Source organism: Homo sapiens, chromosome 1 (assembly GCF_000001405.40).
Source record: "Homo sapiens chromosome 1, GRCh38.p14 Primary Assembly".
Taxonomy (NCBI): Eukaryota; Metazoa; Chordata; class Mammalia; order Primates; family Hominidae; genus Homo; species Homo sapiens.
In genome coordinates this window covers 223,280,743-223,302,908 of record NC_000001.11, presented here as the reverse complement: position 1 = coordinate 223,302,908, position 22,166 = coordinate 223,280,743, and the positions used below count along the sequence as shown (strand labels likewise).

At 43.5% G+C, this 22,166-nt stretch overlaps 1 protein-coding gene across 14 annotated transcripts in view; it reads left to right on the top strand.

The window, feature by feature from the left end:
- SUSD4 (sushi domain containing 4) overlaps positions 1-22,166 on the top strand; it is a 144,405-nt gene that overhangs the window by 62,327 nt on the left and 59,912 nt on the right. For 8 of the 14 annotated variants that reach the window (XM_024447936.2, NM_017982.4, NM_001437664.1 and 5 more), the window contains one exon: positions 10,258-10,470. In XM_024447936.2, coding sequence (XP_024303704.1) covers positions 10,258-10,470 — 213 coding nt within the window. Of the gene's footprint in view, positions 1-6,018; positions 6,183-10,257; positions 10,471-13,631; positions 13,787-22,166 lie in introns of those variants that run through there. The other 6 variants (NM_001410929.1, XM_017001583.2, XM_017001585.2 and 3 more) reach the window with 2 other exon arrangements.

Here is a 22,166-nt window from a genome sequence, read left to right as displayed (position 1 = left end):
AATTTTTATAAAGCAATCACGTTTCCTTATTAATGTTAGTTGTAATTTTCACAGTGTGTCTGTATCTCCTGCTATTTCTAGTGCTTGCTGGTTCTGGGACCTTCTCTTATTCTCCTGGCCCACGCGGGCATCTCCTCCAGAGGCAGGTTAGTTTGGATGTGCTTTTCTTCTGCTCCATCTCTTTGACAGTTGAGGTATTCCCAGGCAGCCCTGGGGTCCGGGTTAGTCAGTCTTTCTAACATTTTCTGGAAAATGTTTGGCAGTCCTTGAGCTACCTATCATTGGGGCAGGGGGCCCTCAGAATGTTTGAGCCTGACCTTGGCTCAGGGTGGATCTCCAGAACATGTAGAACTTCTCTAGACTCAGGCTCAGGAGGAGTCCTCCATCTGTTGTTGGTGCAGGCACACACCTGGAAGCAATGTCAGGATGGACATTGGTGGCAAGGGCACGGACCAGCCTGAAGTACAGTTGTGCTGATGCCTTGGTCTAGATACAATATTAGCTCAAATAGTTGCTGGGCATTTGTCTTACCCTGGATAAGTTAGGCTATCACTGGACATGTTCATTTATGAGTTAAGGTCTGTATTAGTCTGTTCTCACACTGCTATAAAGACATACTTAAGACTGGGTAATTTATAAAGAAAAGAGGTTTAATTGTGCTCATGGTTCTGCAGGCTGTACAGGCTTTTGCTTCTGGGTAGGCCTCAGGAAACTTACAATCATGGTGGAAGGTGAAGGGGAAGCAGGCACATCTTACGTGGCTGGAGCAGGAGGAAGAGAAAGCAAAGGGGAAGGTGCCACACACTTTTAAACAACTTGTGAGAACTGTATCAGGAGACAGCACTAGGGGGATGGTGCTAAACCATTAGAAACCACCCCCATGTTCCAATCATCTCCCACCAGGCCCCACCTCTAACACTGGAGATTACAGTTCAACATGAGATTTTGGGTGGGGACACGGAGCCAAACCATATCAGGTCATTCTAAGAGCAAGGGATTTTGAGATGATGGGAAACTCAAGGTGGTGTAAGGTGAGGTGTGTGTTGGCAGTAAGGAGATGGTTAAAAGGCCCCTCATCAACAGATCCTCAGAAACTGACACGGTTCATTTTAGTTCGTATCCTTTACTAACATGCCCAGATGACTAAACTTTGTCTTTAAAAATAGGCAAGGTTTTTTGAAGTTTTTCCTCTCATGAGACGGAAAGATTCCCTCCTCAGCATAAAGGGTTATTGATGCACAGAGATATTTTAACAGTTGGGTGGTTTACCTGCATTGCTGGTGATGAGAAAAAGGCTGATCTCAGCCTGTGGGAAGCTAGATGAGAATGTTTAGAAGTAAGGGGGGAAAAGCTCTTAAGTGGGTCAAGAAGGGACTTCTTCAAGTTTACCACATCCTTCTCTCTTTATTTTACTGCTGAGGGCAATGTGTACTCCAGTCTCTAGAACTAACTCTGTTTCATGAAACCAATATCTGGCTTAGGTTGTGTTCTCTCCAAGAATACCTTTCATCCCCAGGAATGTGGTACAGACCATGCGGTGGTCAATAGATGTTTGAGAACTGACTGCCTGGATTCTGGGATGTTTTAAGTGACAAGTCAGGATCCCTGGCCCCATCACACTGAGACTGTGTGCTGGGAGGTGTGGGCTTTGGGGGAAACATGAGGATTGTATTCTATTGAATCATTAAATATTCCAGCATTGCTATTTGCTCAGCCCTGTTTTAACAGATATAAGGACTCAAAAACATGTTAAACTGTTCTTTCCCTAAAGAGTTTATATAATATCATGAAGATCTGAGTCATTCACAAACTGAAATATGGTAGGAAAAGGCTAAGTAGAGACAACAGCAAGAACATTGGACTGCAAGTCAGAAGCCTCAGAGTTTAGTCCCAGCCCTGTGATTAGCTGTTAGAGTGATTTTTCAGTTAGAATAACCCCAAAGATTGCTTTTCACACCTTTCATTTTTATGATTCTTTTAAAAGACTTCTTATGTTGTTCACAGCCTCAGTGTCCTCCTCTGGGAGACAAAGGGGTCAAACTAGATGACCTCTAAAATGGCTTTAATGGCAACCATGTGAGACTGATAGTGCTACTGCAGGATGGAGGATGGGCATGCTTTTGGGGTTGGTCTTGATTCCAGTGAGCATTTGCAAATCCGTCTGTTTAAACTTTCACAGGGATGCCCTTTTTCACTAGCCCCAGGACCCTCTCACTAAGTCAGTGCATACAAAATCAATTTTTGTGTGTATATCCTTTTTCTTCCTCCAAAGCCTCATATAGCAGTTTACAGAGAAATGGAAACCCAGCCTTAGTTCTAAATTGATTTGGCTACATTTGATACACTCTTCCTCTCTAGAATATGACTTTTCAGTTATAATAACCCAAAAGATTGCTTTTCACACCTCTTTCATTTTTATGATTCTTTTTAAAGACTTCTTATGTTGCTCACAGTAAAACTGGTAGGTTTCAGCAGGCTCAAAAGTAACCAAACCAGAAGTGTCAAGACCTTATAAAGAAACTGAGGGTGTCTTTGCATGAGAAGAGAGGGGCACTCTCAATCCCTGTTACTCACACAGTTTTTGGTTAGGAGAAAAGAAAGAGGGGATCTCAGCCTTCATTGAGAACCAGAGTCCAAATTACAATACTCCTCCTGATTTGTTCCTGAGGTCACAAATGCTGGGCAGGAAAATGGGTGCCAGTGACGGTGATGCCAGTAATGGAGAGGGTGTGTCAGCCCCAGGGGGTACTGCAGGCCAGGACCCTGCCCCTGGTCTGCTCTGACCCCAGGACCCAGGTGCTTTCCCCACTAGATGACTGCTTACCAGAACTCAGGGATCCAGAGAGAAAGAGCATCCTCTGGGTGGAGGGACATTCAGCATATGTGTCATTCACATTTGTAAAGTACTCTAGTATTTTTAGGAAGACTGTATGAGTCTGGGTTCTCCAGAGAAACAGAACCAGCAGGAGGACAGATAGATAGGTATCTCCTTGGAGACCCAGGAGAGCCAGTAGTATAGTTCCAGCTTAAGTCTAAAGGCCTGAGACCCAGGAGAGCCAATGATGTAATTTCCTGTCTGCTCAAGTCCAAAGGCAGGAGAAGATCCACGTCCTTGAAGACAGTCAGGCAGAGAGAAGAGAATTCTCCCTTACTCAGCTATTTGTTCTATTCAGGCATTGGACAAATTGGATGAGGCCCACCCACCTTAGGGAGGGTAATCTGCTTGTCTCAGTCTACCAATTCAAATGTTCATCTCATCCAGAAACACCCTCACACATACCCCTAGAATCATGTTTGATTGATGTCTGAGTACCCTGTGGCCCAGTCAAACTGGCATATAAAATGAACCATCACAAAGGCTATCTCTTATATATAAGTGCTCCACTCTGAATTAAATTTAGGAAGAACTGCTAAAGGATGCCACTTCTGAGGGCTGATTAAAATGGAATGTTTTCTTCTCCTCCCACTCCCCCCAAAAACAAACATATTGGAATCATTCTGTGAACTCTTTTCTCTTCTCCAAGCTGTGACTACTTAGTTCTCATGCGTGAGCAGAATATGAAGAATGGGGAGGAAATAGGTTTGGACTTTGAGAACACTGGTTCCTAGGATAAGATTATTTGAATGGGCCTGCATGCAAATGATTTTCCACTCTGCTTCCCTAACACCTACACCAGTCCACTCCTTAATGGATATGTTATTTGAGGGGGCTGATCATTGTCATTATGGAAGCACACTAACAGAACAGCTCTTCAGAAAAATGACCCAGGCTGGGAATTGATCTGCTAGGGGATAATTTGAAAAGTAGAATTTAAAGCTCTGGCAGGCCCTAGAAAATTACTGTCTTGCTCAATGGAATTAGTTGTCCAAGATGAAGAATATTTTCTTCTTGTACCATCTCATCTTCTGATGGCTCTCTTTTCACCACTTATTCTTAATTCCCTGTTCTGTGCCGACGGCTGGAGCCCATGGCCGGCAGCATTCCTGATCCTCAATGCTGTCACCGGAACATAAACAGTCAGAGGTTAACTATGCTTACTTGAAAACAGAGGAAGTGCATGGGAATGTTCTTTTAAAGGGAAAGGAATAAGCGCAGAAAGAATACAGAATTAAATTCATGAGGAAATTGTGCAGCTCTCACATTGTAACTTCCATGAAACTCTCATCATTTATTTATCAGTGCAGGAGTCATTTTTCTGATGGATTCAGGGCTGGATCTTCAGTTATCCCTTGAATTGTGTGTCCTTCTCTGAGAGAGAACAGCTTTATGGCAAAGAGTGGGGGATACGACCATCTGAGGGTTCTGTACCTATCATTCAGCTTTCAGCACGCCTTGTTTGTTAGCAGAGGGTGACTGGCCAAAAAGTGTGTGCTGGGGAACTTAGATGTCTCAGTCAAATCCCTCGTGTAGACCTACCTCTGGCCCCCCATACTGGAGAGGGAGGAAGAGGGCTGAAGTGTTTGGAGCTGTGGATTGGGGGAAGTTTGTAAAAAGTAATTAAGGAATATAGTCTACTCAGCTTGGGAGAGGAGAGAAAGGTGAAAGGGTGTTAGGAGAGAGTGTGTCTGTGCTATAGGAGGGCATTTCACATCTCCCTTGTCTGTGGAATTCATAAGCTCCTGGGACTGTCAGTGCCATTGGTGTTGCTGTTTGGTGGGTGGAGATGGTTCCAGATGGGTCCAACAGGGTAGTTGGCATGAGGCTCCATCCATCCATCCATCCATTCATCTATCTGTTTATCCATCCATCCAATCCAACCCATCCATCCATCCATTCATCCATCCATCCATCTAGCGATGCATCCATCCATCCACTTATTCACCCATCCAGCCAGCCATTCATCTATTCATCCATCCATCCACCCATTCATCCATCCATCCATTTATCCATCTATTCATCTACCCATTTATCCATTCACCTAGCCAACCAGCCAGCCATTCATCTATTCATCTGTCCATTTACCCATCTATCCACCCATTCATCCACCTGTCCATCCATCCACCTGTCCATCCATCTATCCATCCATCCATCCATCCCTTGCTTTATCCTTCATTAGCAACACTTGTAGAATGTCCACTTTATACCACACACCATGCCAGATGCTGAGGAGGTGAAGAATAAGACCTACTCTTTCCCTCCAGGAGTTCACAGCCCAGTGAGGGAGACCGCTAAGTAGAGCAGTGATGATGGTCAGAGTGAGGAACACTGAGAGAGGTGAGCCCAGGTTGCCTTGATGAGAAGAGAGGCCTCCTATTCAGACTCTGCAGGGGAGGGAAGGCTCTCTGGAAGAGGCACTATTTCAGCTGTGTCCTGGATGATGAGCATGTTATTGGGAAAACTTTCCGTTGGTAGAGGTTCTGGCATGACTTCCCTTCCTGCTTCAGTAGGAGACAAGTCCTTTGTTCAGGGCCTGGGTCACCTTCCTGCCCACATTCAGGTGGGGACAACTTAACCCCACCTGTCTCTCCGTCACTTGTCCTCATCCACAGGCTTTTATTTTCCAGTGTTTTTCTTCCTGCTGTGTAGAGACACATTCAGATCTCTTTCATCTTAAAATTTTAGTACAACAATAATAAAAACCATCCCTTGGGCCTAGTCCATGAGCAGCTGCCTCCCTATGTTCTTCTGTTCACACTAAGCATCCTGAAAGAGCAGTCCACACATACTGTGTCACCCTTCCCTCTCCACATGTTAGCAGACAGGCTTCCTACCCAGGGACAGTCCTTTCCTGTCCCTGCAGCTGCATGGGCAGTGGTCCCAGTGTTCTCTGTCTTCAGTTAGTGGATGCTTTCAGATCTTTATGTAGTTGACCAATGGGTCACATTGATGTGGCTGTCCATTTCTTCCTTCCTGAAACTGTTTTCCTTGCTTTGGGGACACTGGTCAGGTCTTTCTTCTTGATGGTCCTGGATTTTCCATGCCCTTTATATTAGTCTGTTCTCACACTGCTATAAGGACATACCCGAGGCTTGGTAAATTATAAAGGAAAGAGGTTTAATTGATTCATAGTTCCACAGGACCGGGGTGGCCTCAAGAAACTCACAATCATGGCAGAAGGGAAAGCAAACGCATCCTTCTTCACATGGCGGCAGCAAGGAGAAGTGCAGAGAGAGAAGAAAGTCCCTTATAAAACCATCAGACCTCATGAGAACTCATTCACTATCACAAGAACAGCATGGAGGTAACCACCCCATAATTCAATTACCTCCTACCTGGTCCCTGCCATGACATGGGGATTATGAGAACTACAGTTCAAGTTGAGATTTGGGTGGGGACACAGCCAAACTCTATCATCCTTTCTGGGTGTCCCTTATTTGTGTGTCCTCAGCTGCTCCTCCCTTCACACTGTGCTAGTTCCAGGAGGGCATGCCCACCTGTGCCTTGGACTGCTGCCTATACATGGATGCACAGCACAGGCCATGCAGAACTTCTGGCTCATGCTCCAGCTGATGGCTAGACATCTATACCTGGCATCCCCAAGAATTCAGATTCACCACACTCCACACTGAACTCTTCCCCCTTCTCCCTAGGCCCACTCTTCATCTTGTTCTGTTAATCTGAGCACATGGCACTGCCATCTACCCTGACATTGATGCCAGAACCAGGAAGGTATCCTGGACGCCTCTCTCCTCTCTCACTCCCACTATCACTCCCCCATCCAGGAGGTCACCAGGTTTTGTGACTCTGTGTCCTTAATGTCTGTGTAGCCCTCTCCATTCCACTGTCTTTGCCTTGTTTCTGACTCACCTGGAGTACTGCAGGAGCCTTGAAATTCCACAGTTCTCAAATGCCTGCCCTCAGACAAGTGCTAGACTGGCTGTCCAAGAGCAGCCCCACCCCACCCCACACAGAGAGAGCCAGGCTCAATTGATCTGTCCTTTGATAAAGGTGCCCAATGATCCTGAGGTGCAGCTGGTGTCCTGGGAGCCATTTCAAATGATCTTCCCACCCTTTTCCTGGTCTGTAGCCATCAGTCCTTCACATGGGCACCAGAGAGATCATTCTAAAATGCGAATCTGATCGTAATCACTTCCCTGCTCAAACCTCTCAGTCTTTTTTTTTTTTTTTATACTTTAAGTTCTAGGGTACATGTGCACAAAGTGCAGGTTAGTTACATATGTATACCCTCAGTCTTGACACCCATGCCCCTCTCTCCCACATTGAATCCAAACCCTGAGCTAACACAAAGCTTCCACAGTCTGCCTTCATCTCTTTCCCTTCCTTTATCCCCACAGCCCCACCCCTAGCAGGCACCCTGTCCCCAGCTGGCAGAGCCACCTCTTTCCTGACAGGTGCTGGTCAGCTTCCCACCTCCATACCTTCCGACCTGCACCCACAGCACCCTTCCTCCCTTCTGGCTACTCTTCACAAGGATCCCACTCAAGGCTTTGCAGAGGTTCCCATCCTCTATTATGGCACACTCATCTTGCCCTTCTGTGGCCACCCATTGACTGATACATGTGCCCCACCCCAACATTATGAGAGCTGACACTGGTTCTATTTGACATAGTATGAGAGAGAATGACTTTTACCTATGGATAGCCAGAAACGTCCAGATTACCCAGGTTTCAGGGCTCTGGATATCTGTGCTTCTAGGCCTTCTAAACTATATAAAACCATGAATTCCATTGCTGCTAATGTTTCCACCTCAATAGCATCATGAATATATGTTTCAATATATGTAACAGCAGGCCCTCCCTTATACTTGGCCCTAGCTATGGCTCATGACACTATGTTTGCTTATCTGCCTTCATCCCAGCTATCTGGGCACAAAATGTCTTAGACCTCTTCCTAACCCCAACATCCAGTCAGTTGATAAGGGGAGCCTGGAACCCATGGCTCAGTACCATCGTGAATATATGTTTCAATATTCATGATATTCATAAATATATGTTTCAATATTCATGATGGTATGAAGTGGAAAAACTAGCAGCAATAGAATGGGCATGAGATTGCCCTTCCTTCCAGATGAAAGGAAATGGTTGACATTCATCATTTAGGAACCACTTGATAATTAGAATACTTTCCCCCAAATTAAAAACATGCAGCCATCATTTAATGACTTTCAAATACCCCTCTGCTGGGCTGCAACACAACTTGTATTATTGGGGTATTTAGTCCCAACAGAGTGGCAGCAGGAGGGCTGAGAAGGCTGGATGCTATCTCCTTTGTAAAAGCATCATCAGTTTGGTAAAATATCAGACCTGCTCCTACTTAATAAGTACAAGTGTCAGATGTGGATGCTGTGCCCTCCTCCTTCCTGCCTTCGAATGGCTTTTCCCTCACCCCAATTCTTTGTCACCTCTGCACAAAGTAAGCACTGTAACAATGACTTCTGGACATCCTGCCAGTGCCATGCCTCCTGTGCTGTGTGGCTTTCAGCACAGCAACAGTGGTAGAGGGTCTAGCATCATAAGCCAGGTGGGGAGGGAAGCCAGTGAATCCTACACAAGCACATAAAAGCTGGGGTGGGGGAATTCACCTGCAGCTGAGGAACTTCTGCAAGTGCAGTATGTTAGAGAAAAACAGATATGAGTTCGATATCTGAGCATCCTCCTGGGAACCAGGTAAACCTTGCAAGAGCCCCAATGATACTTACTGTCTCCTAGGTCTGGGTTGAGACTTCCCCATCATATCTTGATGGTGTCCAGCCTGTCCTGGCACCAGCAGGCTGTGCTGGGGGTGGGGATGGATGGGCACACCAGTACACCAGTCCCCATCTACATAGAGTTATGTATATTTGTTGTTGGTACCCATTCAGTAAGGATTTGTCTATTGATTTTGTGAGTAAGAGAATGGAGTAGAATGCCTCTGTAGGGCTCAGGAGTTTCTTGTTCTGGAGTTTGCATTGTTCCCTTTGAGGACACGGTTAAAGCATTATGCACACAGCAGAGCCTCCCTTATCCCTGGCCCTCGCTGTGGCTTATGACATCAGTGTTTGTTTCAGGGATCTGCCTTCATCCAAGCTGTCTGGGCACAAAAATCTCTTAGATCTCTCACTCACCCCAACATCTAGTCAGTTGAAAAGGGGGGCCTGGAACTCAAGTGTCCCAAGTTTGGAGCATTTAGAGTAAGGACATATTAGGAGCATTATGTACACAGCAGACCCTCCCTTATCCTTGGCCCTAGCTGTGGCTCATGATGTCCATTTTTGCTTGTCCGCATTCATCCCAGCTGTCTGGGCACAAAATTTCTTAGGTCTCCTCCTCACTCCAACATCCAGTCAGTTGACAAGGGGAGCCTAGAATCCAAGTGTCCCAGACACCAGCATCCTCCTTGTGTCTCCACTGCTCTCAGCCCATCACCCCTTACCCACACCCTTGCTTGCTCTCCTGCCTGGGCTTCTGGGCTCTCTCTCTTTCAGTCAGTCTCTCAAGCTGCTGTCCTCCAACCTCATTTATTCATTCAGCAAACTGGTATGGAGCACTGAATACAGAAGACACTGTGGTAGATTCTGGGGATGTCAGGATGGAGTCATAGGACTTGTTCTTGGAGGGCGCACAGCCTGGGATGAGAGGCAGCTGTTCTGCAGGTAATTCAGCACACAGCTGTGTTGACGCTACAGCAGTGGAACAAAGTAGGGATGAGGCAGGCGGAGAGTGAAATTAAGAAAGGCAGCCGGGTGGAGGAGAAACTTGGATAGGTCTTGAGGAGTGAATGTTCCCCTGGCAGATAGGGGTAGGGGTAAGAGGAGGAGGAAGGGCATTCCCAGCCACCCCTACCATAGACCCTGGGTTATAACTACATTCCACTTGCTGCTCCCTCAACACACGCTGCCGTCTTCCAGTCCCCAGCCATTCACTGTTCATGCCATTTCTACCGTTAGAAAACCACCCATGCCTCCCTGCACAGAGTTCTGTCTTGAAATTTCACCCCTTCCTCAAGGCCAGGCTCAGATGCCATCTCCTTGAATCCCTCCCACCTACTGTTCCCTCCTCAACTCTCTTCAGCATTTTGTACATCTTTTGTGGCACTTGTCATGTGAAATCCTTTTTGTCTGTTTCCTTCTCCCTCCTCCTGTAACTTCCTTGAAAGGCTAACTTGGCCATTGAACAGAAAACTCTACTCAGTGCTTTTCTGAGCAAAGAGCTAAAAGCAGAGTAGAATGTGCACTAAAATGTCCTTGGCTTTGGTGGTGGGGTAACTGGAGTGTCCAAGGCGTATGACATCATGCAGGGTCTGCCATTTATGTAGGAAGGCCCTTGGCATTGAGAGAACATATTCATAGGCACCTTTTCCTCTCTTTGTTGATGTAGGGTTCGATGACCTTCAAGTGTGTGCTGACCCCGGCATTCCCGAGAATGGCTTCAGGACCCCCAGCGGAGGGGTTTTCTTTGAAGGCTCTGTAGCCCGATTTCACTGCCAAGACGGATTCAAGCTGAAGGGCGCTACAAAGAGACTGTGTTTGAAGCATTTTAATGGAACCCTAGGCTGGATCCCAAGTGATAATTCCATCTGTGTGCAAGAAGGTAAAGTGCTTACTTCTCCACGGAAGCCACTCATGTGGTTCAAGTTGCATGGCCACAGGGGTGCAGGGCTGTGTGACAGCTCAATACCCTGGGCTCTTCTCTCTGATGCAGGGCTGCACCTGCATGCTGACCAGAAAGCAGGAGTGGGTAATGAGGGTTGGGATAGAGGGTTAATTAATCTCTGCATTAGAAGTAATAGTCTTTTTTCTCTGTCTCAATTACAATCTAATTTATCACCATTTTTGTCAATGCAGGAGAGCAACTCAGATAACATTACGGGTATTTATTATTAGGCTGCCAACTCAGCACTCATTTTCATGTTACTCAATAAAATGTGCAGTAAATATACTGTGCAAAAACTGTATTTAGTCCTACAGAAGATGTGCATTACTCAGAGGATTAAATCAATTACTACTTATCAGTTCTGTGTTAGATGTGATGCATTTAGGAAAAGAAAGAACTGTGACAAGCAGTGACAGATTAACGAGGTAGACATTTATTTCTAGCAATTATCCCTAAATGTATTGGTAGTGACAAGATATTCATTCACTTCTAGCAATTACCCCACATCTGTTGGTTGAAACAACTTTATATACTTTTTTTTGTTTTTACTTTATGTAGATACATTCAGACTTTTTAAAAATGCATGGAGTTTAACCAATTAGAATGTCAAATTGTTGATGATATATCTCAGAAGACCAGCAGGGCTGAAGTTGGAATAGGCATGAATCAAGAATTAATTCTGGTCCCAAATTTCCATGAAGCACAGAACTTATATTTCATTGAGTTCATTTGAAATTAGTTTCAGTTTCTCTTAACACTGATTTTATTTTGGAATGGAGCTTTTATAATAATATGGAAACTATTGTCATGATTTAGTGTATATTTCCTTTATGAAACTTTTTACTTTTTAAATAACTTAATAAGCTTTTTTTTTTTTTTTTTTTTTTGAGACAGTGTCTCCCTCTGTCATCCAGGCTAGAGTGCAGTGGCACAATCTTGGCTCACTGCAACCTCCACTCGGCTCAAGTGATCCTCCCACCTCAATCTCCCAAGTAGTTGGGACTACCTGCGTTCGCCACCATGCCCAGCTAATTTTTGTATTTTTTGTAGAGATGAGGTTTCACCATGTTGCCCAGGTTAGTCTCAAACTCCTGAGCTCATGCAATCCACCTGCCTCAGCTTCCCAAAGTGCTGCGATTACAGGCATGAGCCACGGCACCCGGCCGTGATAAGCATTTTATAAGTGCCTATTTTGCTCCTCCTTCTGGAAATTGTAAAGGATAGATAAGATGGTGTCTTGCTCTTAAAGTACTTGCTATCTTTGCTTTTATTTTCAAGGTATAAGAAAAAGCCATAATAAATATAATAAAGACTTAAGGTTTTTAAAAATAAGTTCATTTTTTCCTCTTGCATGCAGCCTATGCAAGCTGTGGTTTCCCTGAGATTCTATTTAAAGGTTACTTGGTTCATATATATATATATATGTATATAGACTTCCCTGCCAAAACCTATGGCTTATGTTACCCAGTGCTTTAAAAACAGTCAGGCTTAGGAACATCAGAGAACAGAGAAAACCAAAATAGGCTTCTTAAATATTGCCCAGAGATGAAGGCCTTCTGTCAAGCTTCTTTCCAACCCTATACATAACTAGGTACTACGTAGTCATGGCAAGAAAGGGGGTGAGAAATCACCTTAGAGTAGGGGGCTTCTATTGTACTGGTCTGCATGTGTCATTCTTTTTTTTTTCTCTACTTATTTAATGGAATTCATGTACAGTTCTTAACACTCAGCCCCAGATGTGCAGGGAGGGGCTTGTACATAGGCATGGCAGCAGGAAGTCAGCTTTTTTATTAGGCAACCTCAAATAAGACCACGTGTGTCCAAAGGACATTCAGGTCCTTGGATTCCAGTCGTGATGTGCTCCAATCATTTTTGGAAGTTTGGAAGAGCAGATATTACCTTTCTAAGACAATGGTGTATTTATTTTTAATTTGAATGGTAATTTTGTTGGTCTTTGAAAGATCTGTATAAAGAGATTGTTTGTGTTGCCCTGATAGTAGAGAAAGTCATGATTGTTAACACTCTAGGCTTTCTTTATTCTATGTGGTTTATAGGGGGCTGGAGGGAGACCTAGAAGTCTATACCACCGATGTCACATAGCAGTGAAAAAGCTAAACTTTCAGAATGTCTTTTTTCTGCTTTGTAAATAGCCATGCTCCCTGATTAGGATTTATGCTGGGCAAGTAGTAAGGGCTGCTGAATTCATTTGTTATCCTTGCCAGGTAATTCTTAGAAGGCTAATGAATTTCTGGAATGGTGGTAATAATGGTAACAATAATAATTTATCACATTGTTATAGGTCATTAAAGTTTAAAAGTGCTTTCAGATTCACTATTTCATTTAACATGCACAACAATTCTATAAGATGAGTCTTATTGTTTCCTGATTAGGAAACTGAGGTTCAGAGAGGCTCACTCACTTTGTTAAGGTCACACAGTTGATGAGTAAGCAGCCTGGCTGGAATTAATCCTACAACAGCATTGTTTTTCCTCTACAAGGTTGAGTCTAACCTTGTTTATGTCACAACAGCCCCACTCTAATCTGTTACACAAGAGCACCTTGTTACAACAAATGACATCATCCAGGTTTGGAGTTGAAGGAACTCAGAGAAATCACGTAATTCAAGCCCTCATTCCGATTTAGTTTTTGTTTGACCTATAGAGAAACTGAGTCTCAAATAAGGTAAGAGCCTTCCCAGAGTTAAATGACAATTTAGGGAAAGACCTGTTGCAGCCCCCGGGCTTGTCACTGTTACCTGGACTCCTTTCACACCATGGGTCAGTCCTGTCTGAGATGCAGATTTTTTAAAAACTAAGTTCATATCCATTAAAATGCTTTATGACAGTAAAGTGCTCTACAGAAGCAAGGTGGTATTGGGCAGCTGTTCTCTTGGGTGCGCACAGATCCCTTTCTTTTATTCCCACCTCATCCTGCCACATGTACAGCCATTCCCCCTTTTCACATGGCCCCCTTATTCCAATTCAACTTGCTTCTTCCAAGTGAACTAAATTTATAGAGGTCTGAATTTACAGAACTGAATGAATTCACTTTATGGCCCCCAAAGTCTCCAACCTCAGAGATGTCTGTGCTTCTTCAAGCTGCTTCTGCAAGACTGGAGCCTGCATGACCCCAAGCATGGGTGAAAATGTCTATGGCCCAGGGAACAGAGGAGGTGACCTATATGGTGGAGAGGAGACCCTAGAATTGGCAAAGGACTGAAAATACACCCCGTGGGCGCAGGGCTGCTGACCTAGTAAGTACAGTGACTAAAGGCCAGGGTGCTGGCCACCATCTGGCCGCTTCCTTTCCAAAACCAACTCAGTTATGTCTACTTGGGGATACTTTTCCAGAGTAAATATATCCCTTTCCTACATTTCATAAGAAAAGACAGAGGTGAAGCAAGATTGACTTTACCTGAATTCACTTGACAAACACTTACTCAACACATACGTCCTCAGGACATAAAAAATGCTGCATCCTCACTGAAGCTCTTGCTGCAAGGAGTAGCAGTCAGACTTTGTGTGGTGATGAACTTCGGTTTGTACATCATAAAGAATTAGCACATTTAAAAAGTAAACATCTTAAAGAGACTAAAATCAATTCAGGATTCATTTATATTATAAATAAGTATTATATGAGAGAAAGGAGAGAAGAATCAACCCTTGTCTTGCCAAAATCCATTGTCATCATTGATGAAAATATTTCCTTACTTAAGCATCTTTTGGGTTACAGAGTTCATCTCAGCTCTTATGGCATTGGCTATACTAGCCAGATAGGAGTTTTTGGTTTTGTTTCTTATATAGAGAACCAAGTAACTAATTGCACTCAGCTCCTGGTTTGGGTGAGAATCTTACATAGGCTATGAGATAATGTTGTACAGCACCCAAATTCCTCCTCCCTTAGGATTCAGTTCCTGGGAAGGGTGGTGTATTAGTCCATTTCACACTGCTATAAATATACTATCTGAGACGAGGTAATTTATCAAGAAAAGAGGTTTAATTGACTCACAGTTGTGCATGGCTGGGGAGGCCTCAGGAAACTTACACTCATGGCAGAAGGCGAAGGGGAAGCAAAGTACGGCATACATGGTGGCAGGAGAGAGAGAGCACACAGGGAAAACCCCTGCTTTTAAAACCATCAGATCTCATGAGAACTCCCTCACTATCACGAGAACAGCATGAGGGAAACTGCTGCCTTGATCCAATCACCTCCCATCAGGTCCTCCCTCAACACATGGGGATTACAATTCTAGATGAAATTTGGGTGGGAACACAGAGCCAAACCATATGAGGTGGTTATGACATTTTTAAAAGCCAAATCCCTCTAGCAGGAGCTTCAGCACCTGGGTAGATTCAGGGTGTTCCTTGAACACCTTTGGGTATAGACAACATGTTCCTTGTGCAGAAAGACAACTCTCTTTTCTTCTTTGAGTTTCCTCTTTGCAGGGGGAGTGTGCTTTTGGAGACTAAACTGGAGCCTGCTGCAGACTTAAAATTTTATGAAATTAGATTTTAATGTTGAAGGACTTTTTAATAGAGCTTTTCTCTGTAAGGTGGAAGAAGACCCTTTCTCTTTTTATTTAACCATTTTTCTTGAGCAGCTCTGAGAGTAGTCACTGGTTGCATCGGTCACTTGGTTTCAAGTAAACTTCAGGTAAATCCATATTAAGTGAATAAAGTATTTTCATGAAGCTGGAGTCCCATAGGTCTGTCAGATAGCTTGTTTAAGTGAGAGTCTTAAACAAGCAGGTTCTGAGAACACCTTAAAACCACTGTGCAGGGCTCTTCTTAATCCCAGCATAAGGTCCTTAAGAGAACTTACGGGGCCTCCACAGAGCAGCACTTGCTTTTAAAATGAACTGCCTGAGCAGAAGACTTTTTCAGGAAATTCTTCCTCTGTAGTTGGCCAGTCAATTCCTTTGAGTGGGAGAGGAGCAGAGGGGTCAAGCAGAAGGATTGTTGAAACCGCACATTTAATGTACCTTCAAAAGCTACCTCTGGGCTGGGTGCGGTGGCTCACGCCTGTAATCCCAGTTCTTTGACAGGCTGAGGTGGGTGGATCACTGGAGGCCAGGAGTTCGAGACCAGCCTGGCCAGCATGGCGGAACCTTGTCTTTACTAAAAATACAAAAATTAGTCAGGTGTGGTGGCTCGCGCCTATGATCCCAGCTACTCTGAGAAGCCAAGGCATGAGAATTGTTTGAACCCAGGAGGCAGAGGTTGCAGTGAACCGATATCGTGCCACTGTACTCCAGCCTGAGCTACAGAACAAGACTTGCCTCAAAAACAAAAGCAAACAAACAAAGCTACCTCTGTAAGTCGAGCCCATCCCTAGGATGGTTTTCCTTGCTCTGACAGCAGTCACCCACCAATGTAGCCACAGGCTCTGGCTCAAAATCCTGGGTCCAACCTACATCACCCAGAAGAGTGAAGCTTCAAGATATGGCCATGGAGTGGAGGGAAACATGGCTTGTCTTCATGAGATTCACCTAACAACACAAAGAACAAGCTCATCCAACCTTGCGGTGCTTCTCTAGGGAGAGGTTCCTTGATCTGAAAGGGAGATGTAGGCACAAATGACACGCTTGAGACATTCTACATCTGATGGCCAGCCCCAGGCACTCACTCGATGTTATTATTTATTACCTGCATAACCAAGCAGGCAATTCTCATCCATGAAAGGGAGGCCCGATGGCAGCTCCATTTTCCTTGCCTGTCTTCTTTAGTCACTTGGCCATGAGTGTGGTGGAACCCATTGCCTCTGTCTTTCCTGATGCTCCCCACAACCTTTTGACAGGTGGTCTGGTTAAGATTTGCATTTCTCAGGCCAGCTGCGGTGGCTCATGCCTGTAATCCCAGCACTTTGGGAGACTGAGGCAGGTGGATCACCTTGAAGCCAGGAGTTCTAGACCAGCCTGGTCAACATGACGAAACCCTGTCTCTACTGAAAATACAAAAAATTGGCCAGGTGCGGTGGCTCGCGCCTATAATCCCAGCACTTTGGGAGGCCGAGGCAGGTGGATCACGAGGTCAGGAGATTGAGACCATCCTGGCTAACACGGTGAAACCCCATCTCTACTAAAAATACAAAAAATTAGCCAGGCGTGGTGGCAGGCGTCTGTAGTCCCAGCTACTCGGGAGGCTGAGGCAGGAGAATGGCATGAACCCAGGGGGAGGAGCTTGCAGTGAGCCGAGATTGCGCCACTGCACTCCAGCCTGGGCGACAGAGCGAGACTCCATCTCAAAAAAACAAAAAAACAAAAAATTAGCCAGGCATGGTGGTGTACACCTGTAGTCCCAGCTTCTCCCAGGTGGGCCTTTGCCCATGGATATTCACACTGAGTTCCTTCAGCTGATTTTTTCCCCGGACTTTTTGTTTTTAACTTTTATTTTAGGTTCAAGGATACCTGTGCAGGTTTGTTATGTAGATAAACTGGGTGTCTTGGAGGTTTGGTATACAGATTATTTTGTTACATAACAAGCCTAGTACCCCATAGGTAGTTTTTGATCCTCTCCTCTCTCCCGCTCTCCACCCTCAAGTAATTCCCGGTGTGTGTGGTTCCCCACTTTGTGTCCACATGTTATCATTGCTTAGCTCTCACGTGTAAGTGAGAACATGAGGTATTTGTTTTTCTGTTCCTGTGTTAGTTTGCTTGGGATAATGGCCTCCAGCTCCATCCATATTGCTGCAAAGGACATGATCTTGTTCTTTTTTATGGCTGCATAGTATTTCATGGTATATGTGAACCATGTTTTCTGGCCTTTTACTGCTTTTGCTGACATTTGGGTTCCATTGTTAATCATTTACACACAAGGAAAGCACATGGGTACTCTTTCCTTCCACATTTCTGATTGGCTTAGTGCATACCTTATCGTTGCTTTGGCCACAATTAATATTGTCAGTACAGTTGAATCTGAGTTCTCTGTGGGGCATTGTGAATTGAGTTGCCTGTCCAAAGTCATGTATTTTGGGGATGCTGACAAAGATGGACAGGGATTCAGAGAGGCAGCAGTTGAAGGAGAAGGAGGAACGTCGCTACACATCTGTCCAGAACCTGGCCCCATCCCCAGTCACTGAAGGCAAAGCCTCCCTTGGTGTTCCTGCCCACCCCAGCATGTATCCCTCTTCCTGGTCTGCATGTTGCCCTTGTTTTCCTGTCCCCAACAAGACTGCAGTATTTTAAGGAGATGTCTGTCATATGGATTGGGTACCTATGTTTTATTTTTTAAATTGGCATATAATTATACATATTCATGGGATACATAGTGATGTTTTAATACATATATGTGTAATGGTCAGATCAGGGCAATTCACATGTCCATCATCACAAATATCTATTATTTCTTTGTGTTGGGAACATTCAATATCTTCCTTCTTATGATTTGAAACTCTGTAATATATTATTGTTGACCGTAGTTATTTTACAGAGGTATAGAACTCTAGAACTTATTCCTCCTATCTATCTGTGACTTTATATTCTTTAAGAAATCTCTCTCACCCTTTCCCCTACCCTTCCCAGCCTCTAGTAGCCTCTTTTCTACTTTTTACTTCTATGAGATCAGTCTATATTAGCTTCCACATATGAGTGAGAACATGCAGTGTTTAACTTTCTATTCCTGGCTTATTAAAATAAGCCTTAAAATAATGTCCCCCAGTTCCATCCACGTTGCCATCAATGACAAAATTTTATCCTTTTTTATGGATGAATAGTATCCCATGGCATTTATGTACCACAGTTTCGTTACCCATTCATCTATTGTTGAATACCGAGGTTGATTCCATATCTTGGCTATTGTGAATAGTGCTGCAATAAACATGCTCATGCTTTATATACATCATCTTCTTTAATTACTACAGCAACCCTACAAAGTAGGTTCTACAGCCTTATTTTACAGATGAGAAAGTGAAGCCTCTGAGAGGCTGAATTTCCCATGGTCTCCTTGGTAGTGACAGAGTTGGGATTCAAATTTGAGTTTTCTTTCCAGTATGGTCATCTCACCTGACCAAACATGATGTTTCCCAGGCAAGGAGAAGGGAGGGAAGGCAGGTGACACATTATAATGGCCCCAGGCCCATACCCAATTAGGGTTGGATCTCGTTACCAAATCTGTTCATGCAGGGGACTGGTTCTTTTCTTTTTTTATTATTATACTTTAAGTTCTAGGGTACATGTGCGCAATGTGCAGGTTTGTTACATATGTATACATGTGCCATGTTGGTGTGCTGCACCCATTAACTCGTCATTTACATCGGGTATATCTCCTAATGCTTTCCCTCCCCCCTCCCCCTATCCCACAACAGGCCCTGGTGTGTGATGTTTCCCTTCCTGTGTCCACGTGTTCTCATTGTTCAGTTCCCACCTATGAGTGAGAATATGCGGTGTTTGGTTATTTGTTCTTGTGATAGTTTGCTGAGAATGATGGTTTTCAGCTTCATCCATGTCCCTACAAAGGACATGAACTCATCCTTTTTTATGGCTGCGTAGTATTCCATGGTGCATATGTGCCACATTTTCTTAATCCAGTCTATCATTAATGGACATTTGGGTTGGTTCCAAGTCTTTGCTATTGTGAATAGTGCTGCAATAAACATACCTGTGCATGTGCCTTTATAGCAGCATGATTTATAATCCTTTGGGTATATACCCAGTAATGGGATGGCTGGGTCAAATGGTATTTCTAGTTCTAGATCCTTGAGGAATTGCCACACTCACTTCCACAATGGTTGAACTAGTTTACGGTCCCACCAACAGTGTAAAAGTGTTCCTATTTCTCCACATCCTCTCCAGCACCTGTTGTTTCCTGACTTTTTAATGATCACCATTCCAACTGGTGTGAGATGGTATCTCATTGTGGTTTTGATTTGCATTTCTCTGATGGCCAGTGATGATGAGCATTTTTTCATATGTCTGTTGGCTGCATAAATGTCTTCTTTTGAGAAGTATCTGTTCATATCCTTCACCCATTTTTGATGAGGTTGTTTGTTTTTTTCTTGTAAATTTGTTTCATTTATTTGTAGATTCTAGATATTAGCCCTTTGTCAGATGAGTAGATTGCAAAAATTTTCTCCCATTCTGTAGGTTGCCTGTTCACTCTGATGGTAGTTTCTTTTGCTGTGCAGAAGCTCTTTAGTTTAATTAGATCCCATTTGTCAATTTTGACTGTTGTTACCATTGCTTTTGGTGTTTTAGACATGAAGTCCTTGCCCTTGCCTATGTCCTGAATGGTATTGCCTAGGTTTTCTTCTACGGTTTTTATGGTTTTAGGTCTAATATTTAAGTCTTTAATCCATCTTGAATTTAATTTTCATATAAGGTGTAAGGAAGGAAGCTTTCTACATATGGCTAGCCAGTTTTCCCAGCACCATTTGTTAAATACAGAATGCTTTCCCCATTGCTAGTTTTTGTCAGGTTTGTCAAAGATCAGATGGTTGCAGATGTGTGGTATTATTTCTGAGGGCTCTGTTCTGTTCCATTGGTCTATATCTCTGTTTTGGTACCAGTACCATGCTGTTTTGGTTACTGTAGCCTTGTAGTATAGTTTGAAGTCAGGTAGCGTGATGCCTCCAGCTTTGTTCTTTTGGCTTAGGATTGTCTTGGCAATGCAGGCTCTTTTTTGGTTCTATATGAACTTTAAAGTAGTTTTTTCCAATTCTGTGAAGAAAGTCATTGGTAGCTTGATGGGGATGGCATTGAATCTATAAATTACCTTGGGCAGTATGGCCATTTTCACAATATTGATTGTTCCTACCCATGAGCATAGAATGTTCTTCCACTTGTTCATATCCTCTTTTATTTCGTTGAGCAGTGGTTTGTAGTTCTCCTTGAAGAGGTCCTTCACATCCCTTGTAAGTTGGATTCCTAGGTATTTTATTCTTTTTGAAGCAATTGTGAATGGGAGTTCACTCATGATATGGCTCTCTGTTTGTCTGTTATTGGTGTATAAGAATGCTTGTGATTTTTGCATATTGATTTTGTATCCTGAGACTTTGCTGAAGTTGCTTATCAGGTTAAGGAGATTTTGGGCTGAGACGATGGGGTTTTCTAAATATACAATCATGTCATCTGCAAACAGGGACAATTTGACTTCCTCTTTTCCTGATTGAATACCCTTTATTTCTTTCTCCTGCCTGACTGCCCTGGCCAGAACTTCCAACACTATGTTGAATAGGAGTGGTGAGAGAGGGCATCCCTGTCTTGTGCCAGTTTTCAAAGGGAATGCTTCCACTTTTTGCCCATTCAGTATGATATTGGCTGTGGGTTTGTCATAAATAGCTCTTATTATTTTGAGATACATCCCATCAATACCTAATTTATTGAGAGTTTTTAGCATGAAGGGTTGTTGAATTTTGTCAAAGGCCTTTTCCATGTCTATTGAGATAATCATGTGGTTTTTGTCTTTGGTTCTGTTTATATGCTGGATTACGTTTATTGATTTGCGTATGTTGAACCAGCCTTGCATCCTAGGGATGAAGCCCACTTGATCGTGGTGGATAAGCTTTTTGATGTGCTGCTGGATTTGGTTTGCCAGTATTTTATTGAGGATTTTTGCATCGATGTTTATCAGGGATATTGGTCTAAAATTCTCTTTTTTTGTTGTGTCTCTGCCAGGCTTTGGTATCAGGATGATGCTGGCCTCATAAAATGAGTTAGGGAGGATTCCCTCTTTTTCTATTGATTGGAATAGTTTCAGAAGGAATGGTACCAGCTCCTCCTTGTACCTCTAGTAGAATTCGGCTGTGAATCCATCTGGCCCTGAACTCTTTTTGGTTGGTAGGCTATTAATTATTGCCTCAATTTCAGAGCCTGTTATTGGTCTATTCAGGGATTAAACTTCTTCCTGGTTTAGTCTTGGGAGAGTGTATGTGTCGAGGAATTTATCCATTTCTTCTAGATTTTCAAGTTTATTTGCGTAGAGTTGTTTATAGTATTCTCTGATGGTAGTTTGTATTTCTGTGGGATTGGTGGTGATATCCCCTTTATCATTTTTTATTGTGTCTATTTGATTCTTCTCTCTTTTCTTCTTTATTAGTCTTGCTAGCAGTCTATGAATTTTGTTGATCTTTTCAGAAAACCAGCTCCTGTATTCATTGATTTTTTGAAGGGTTTTTTGTGCCTCTATTTCCTTCAGTTCTCCTCTGATCTTAGTTATTTCTTGCCTTCTGCTAGCTTTTGAATGTGTTTGCTCTTGCTTCTCTAGTTCTTTTAATTGTGATGTTAGGGAGTCTATTTTAGATCTTTCCTGCTTTCTTTTGTGGGCACTTAGTGCTATAAATTTCCCTCTACACACTGCTTTAAATGTGTCCCGGAGATTCTGGTATGTTGTGTCTTTGTTCTCATTGGTTTCAAAGAACATCTTTATTTCTGCCTTCATTTCGTTATGTAACTAGTAGTCATTCAGGAGCAGGTTGTTCAGTTTCCATGTAGTTGAGCAGTGTTGAGTGAGTTTCTTAATCCTGAGTTCTAGTTTGATTGCACTGTGGTCTGAGAGATAGTTTGTTATAATTTCTATTCTTTTACATTTGCTGAGGAGTGCTTTACTTCCAACTATGTGGTGAATTTTGGAATAAGTGCGATGTGGTGCTGAAAAGAATGTATATTCTGTTGATTTGGGGTGGAGAGTTCTGTAGATGCC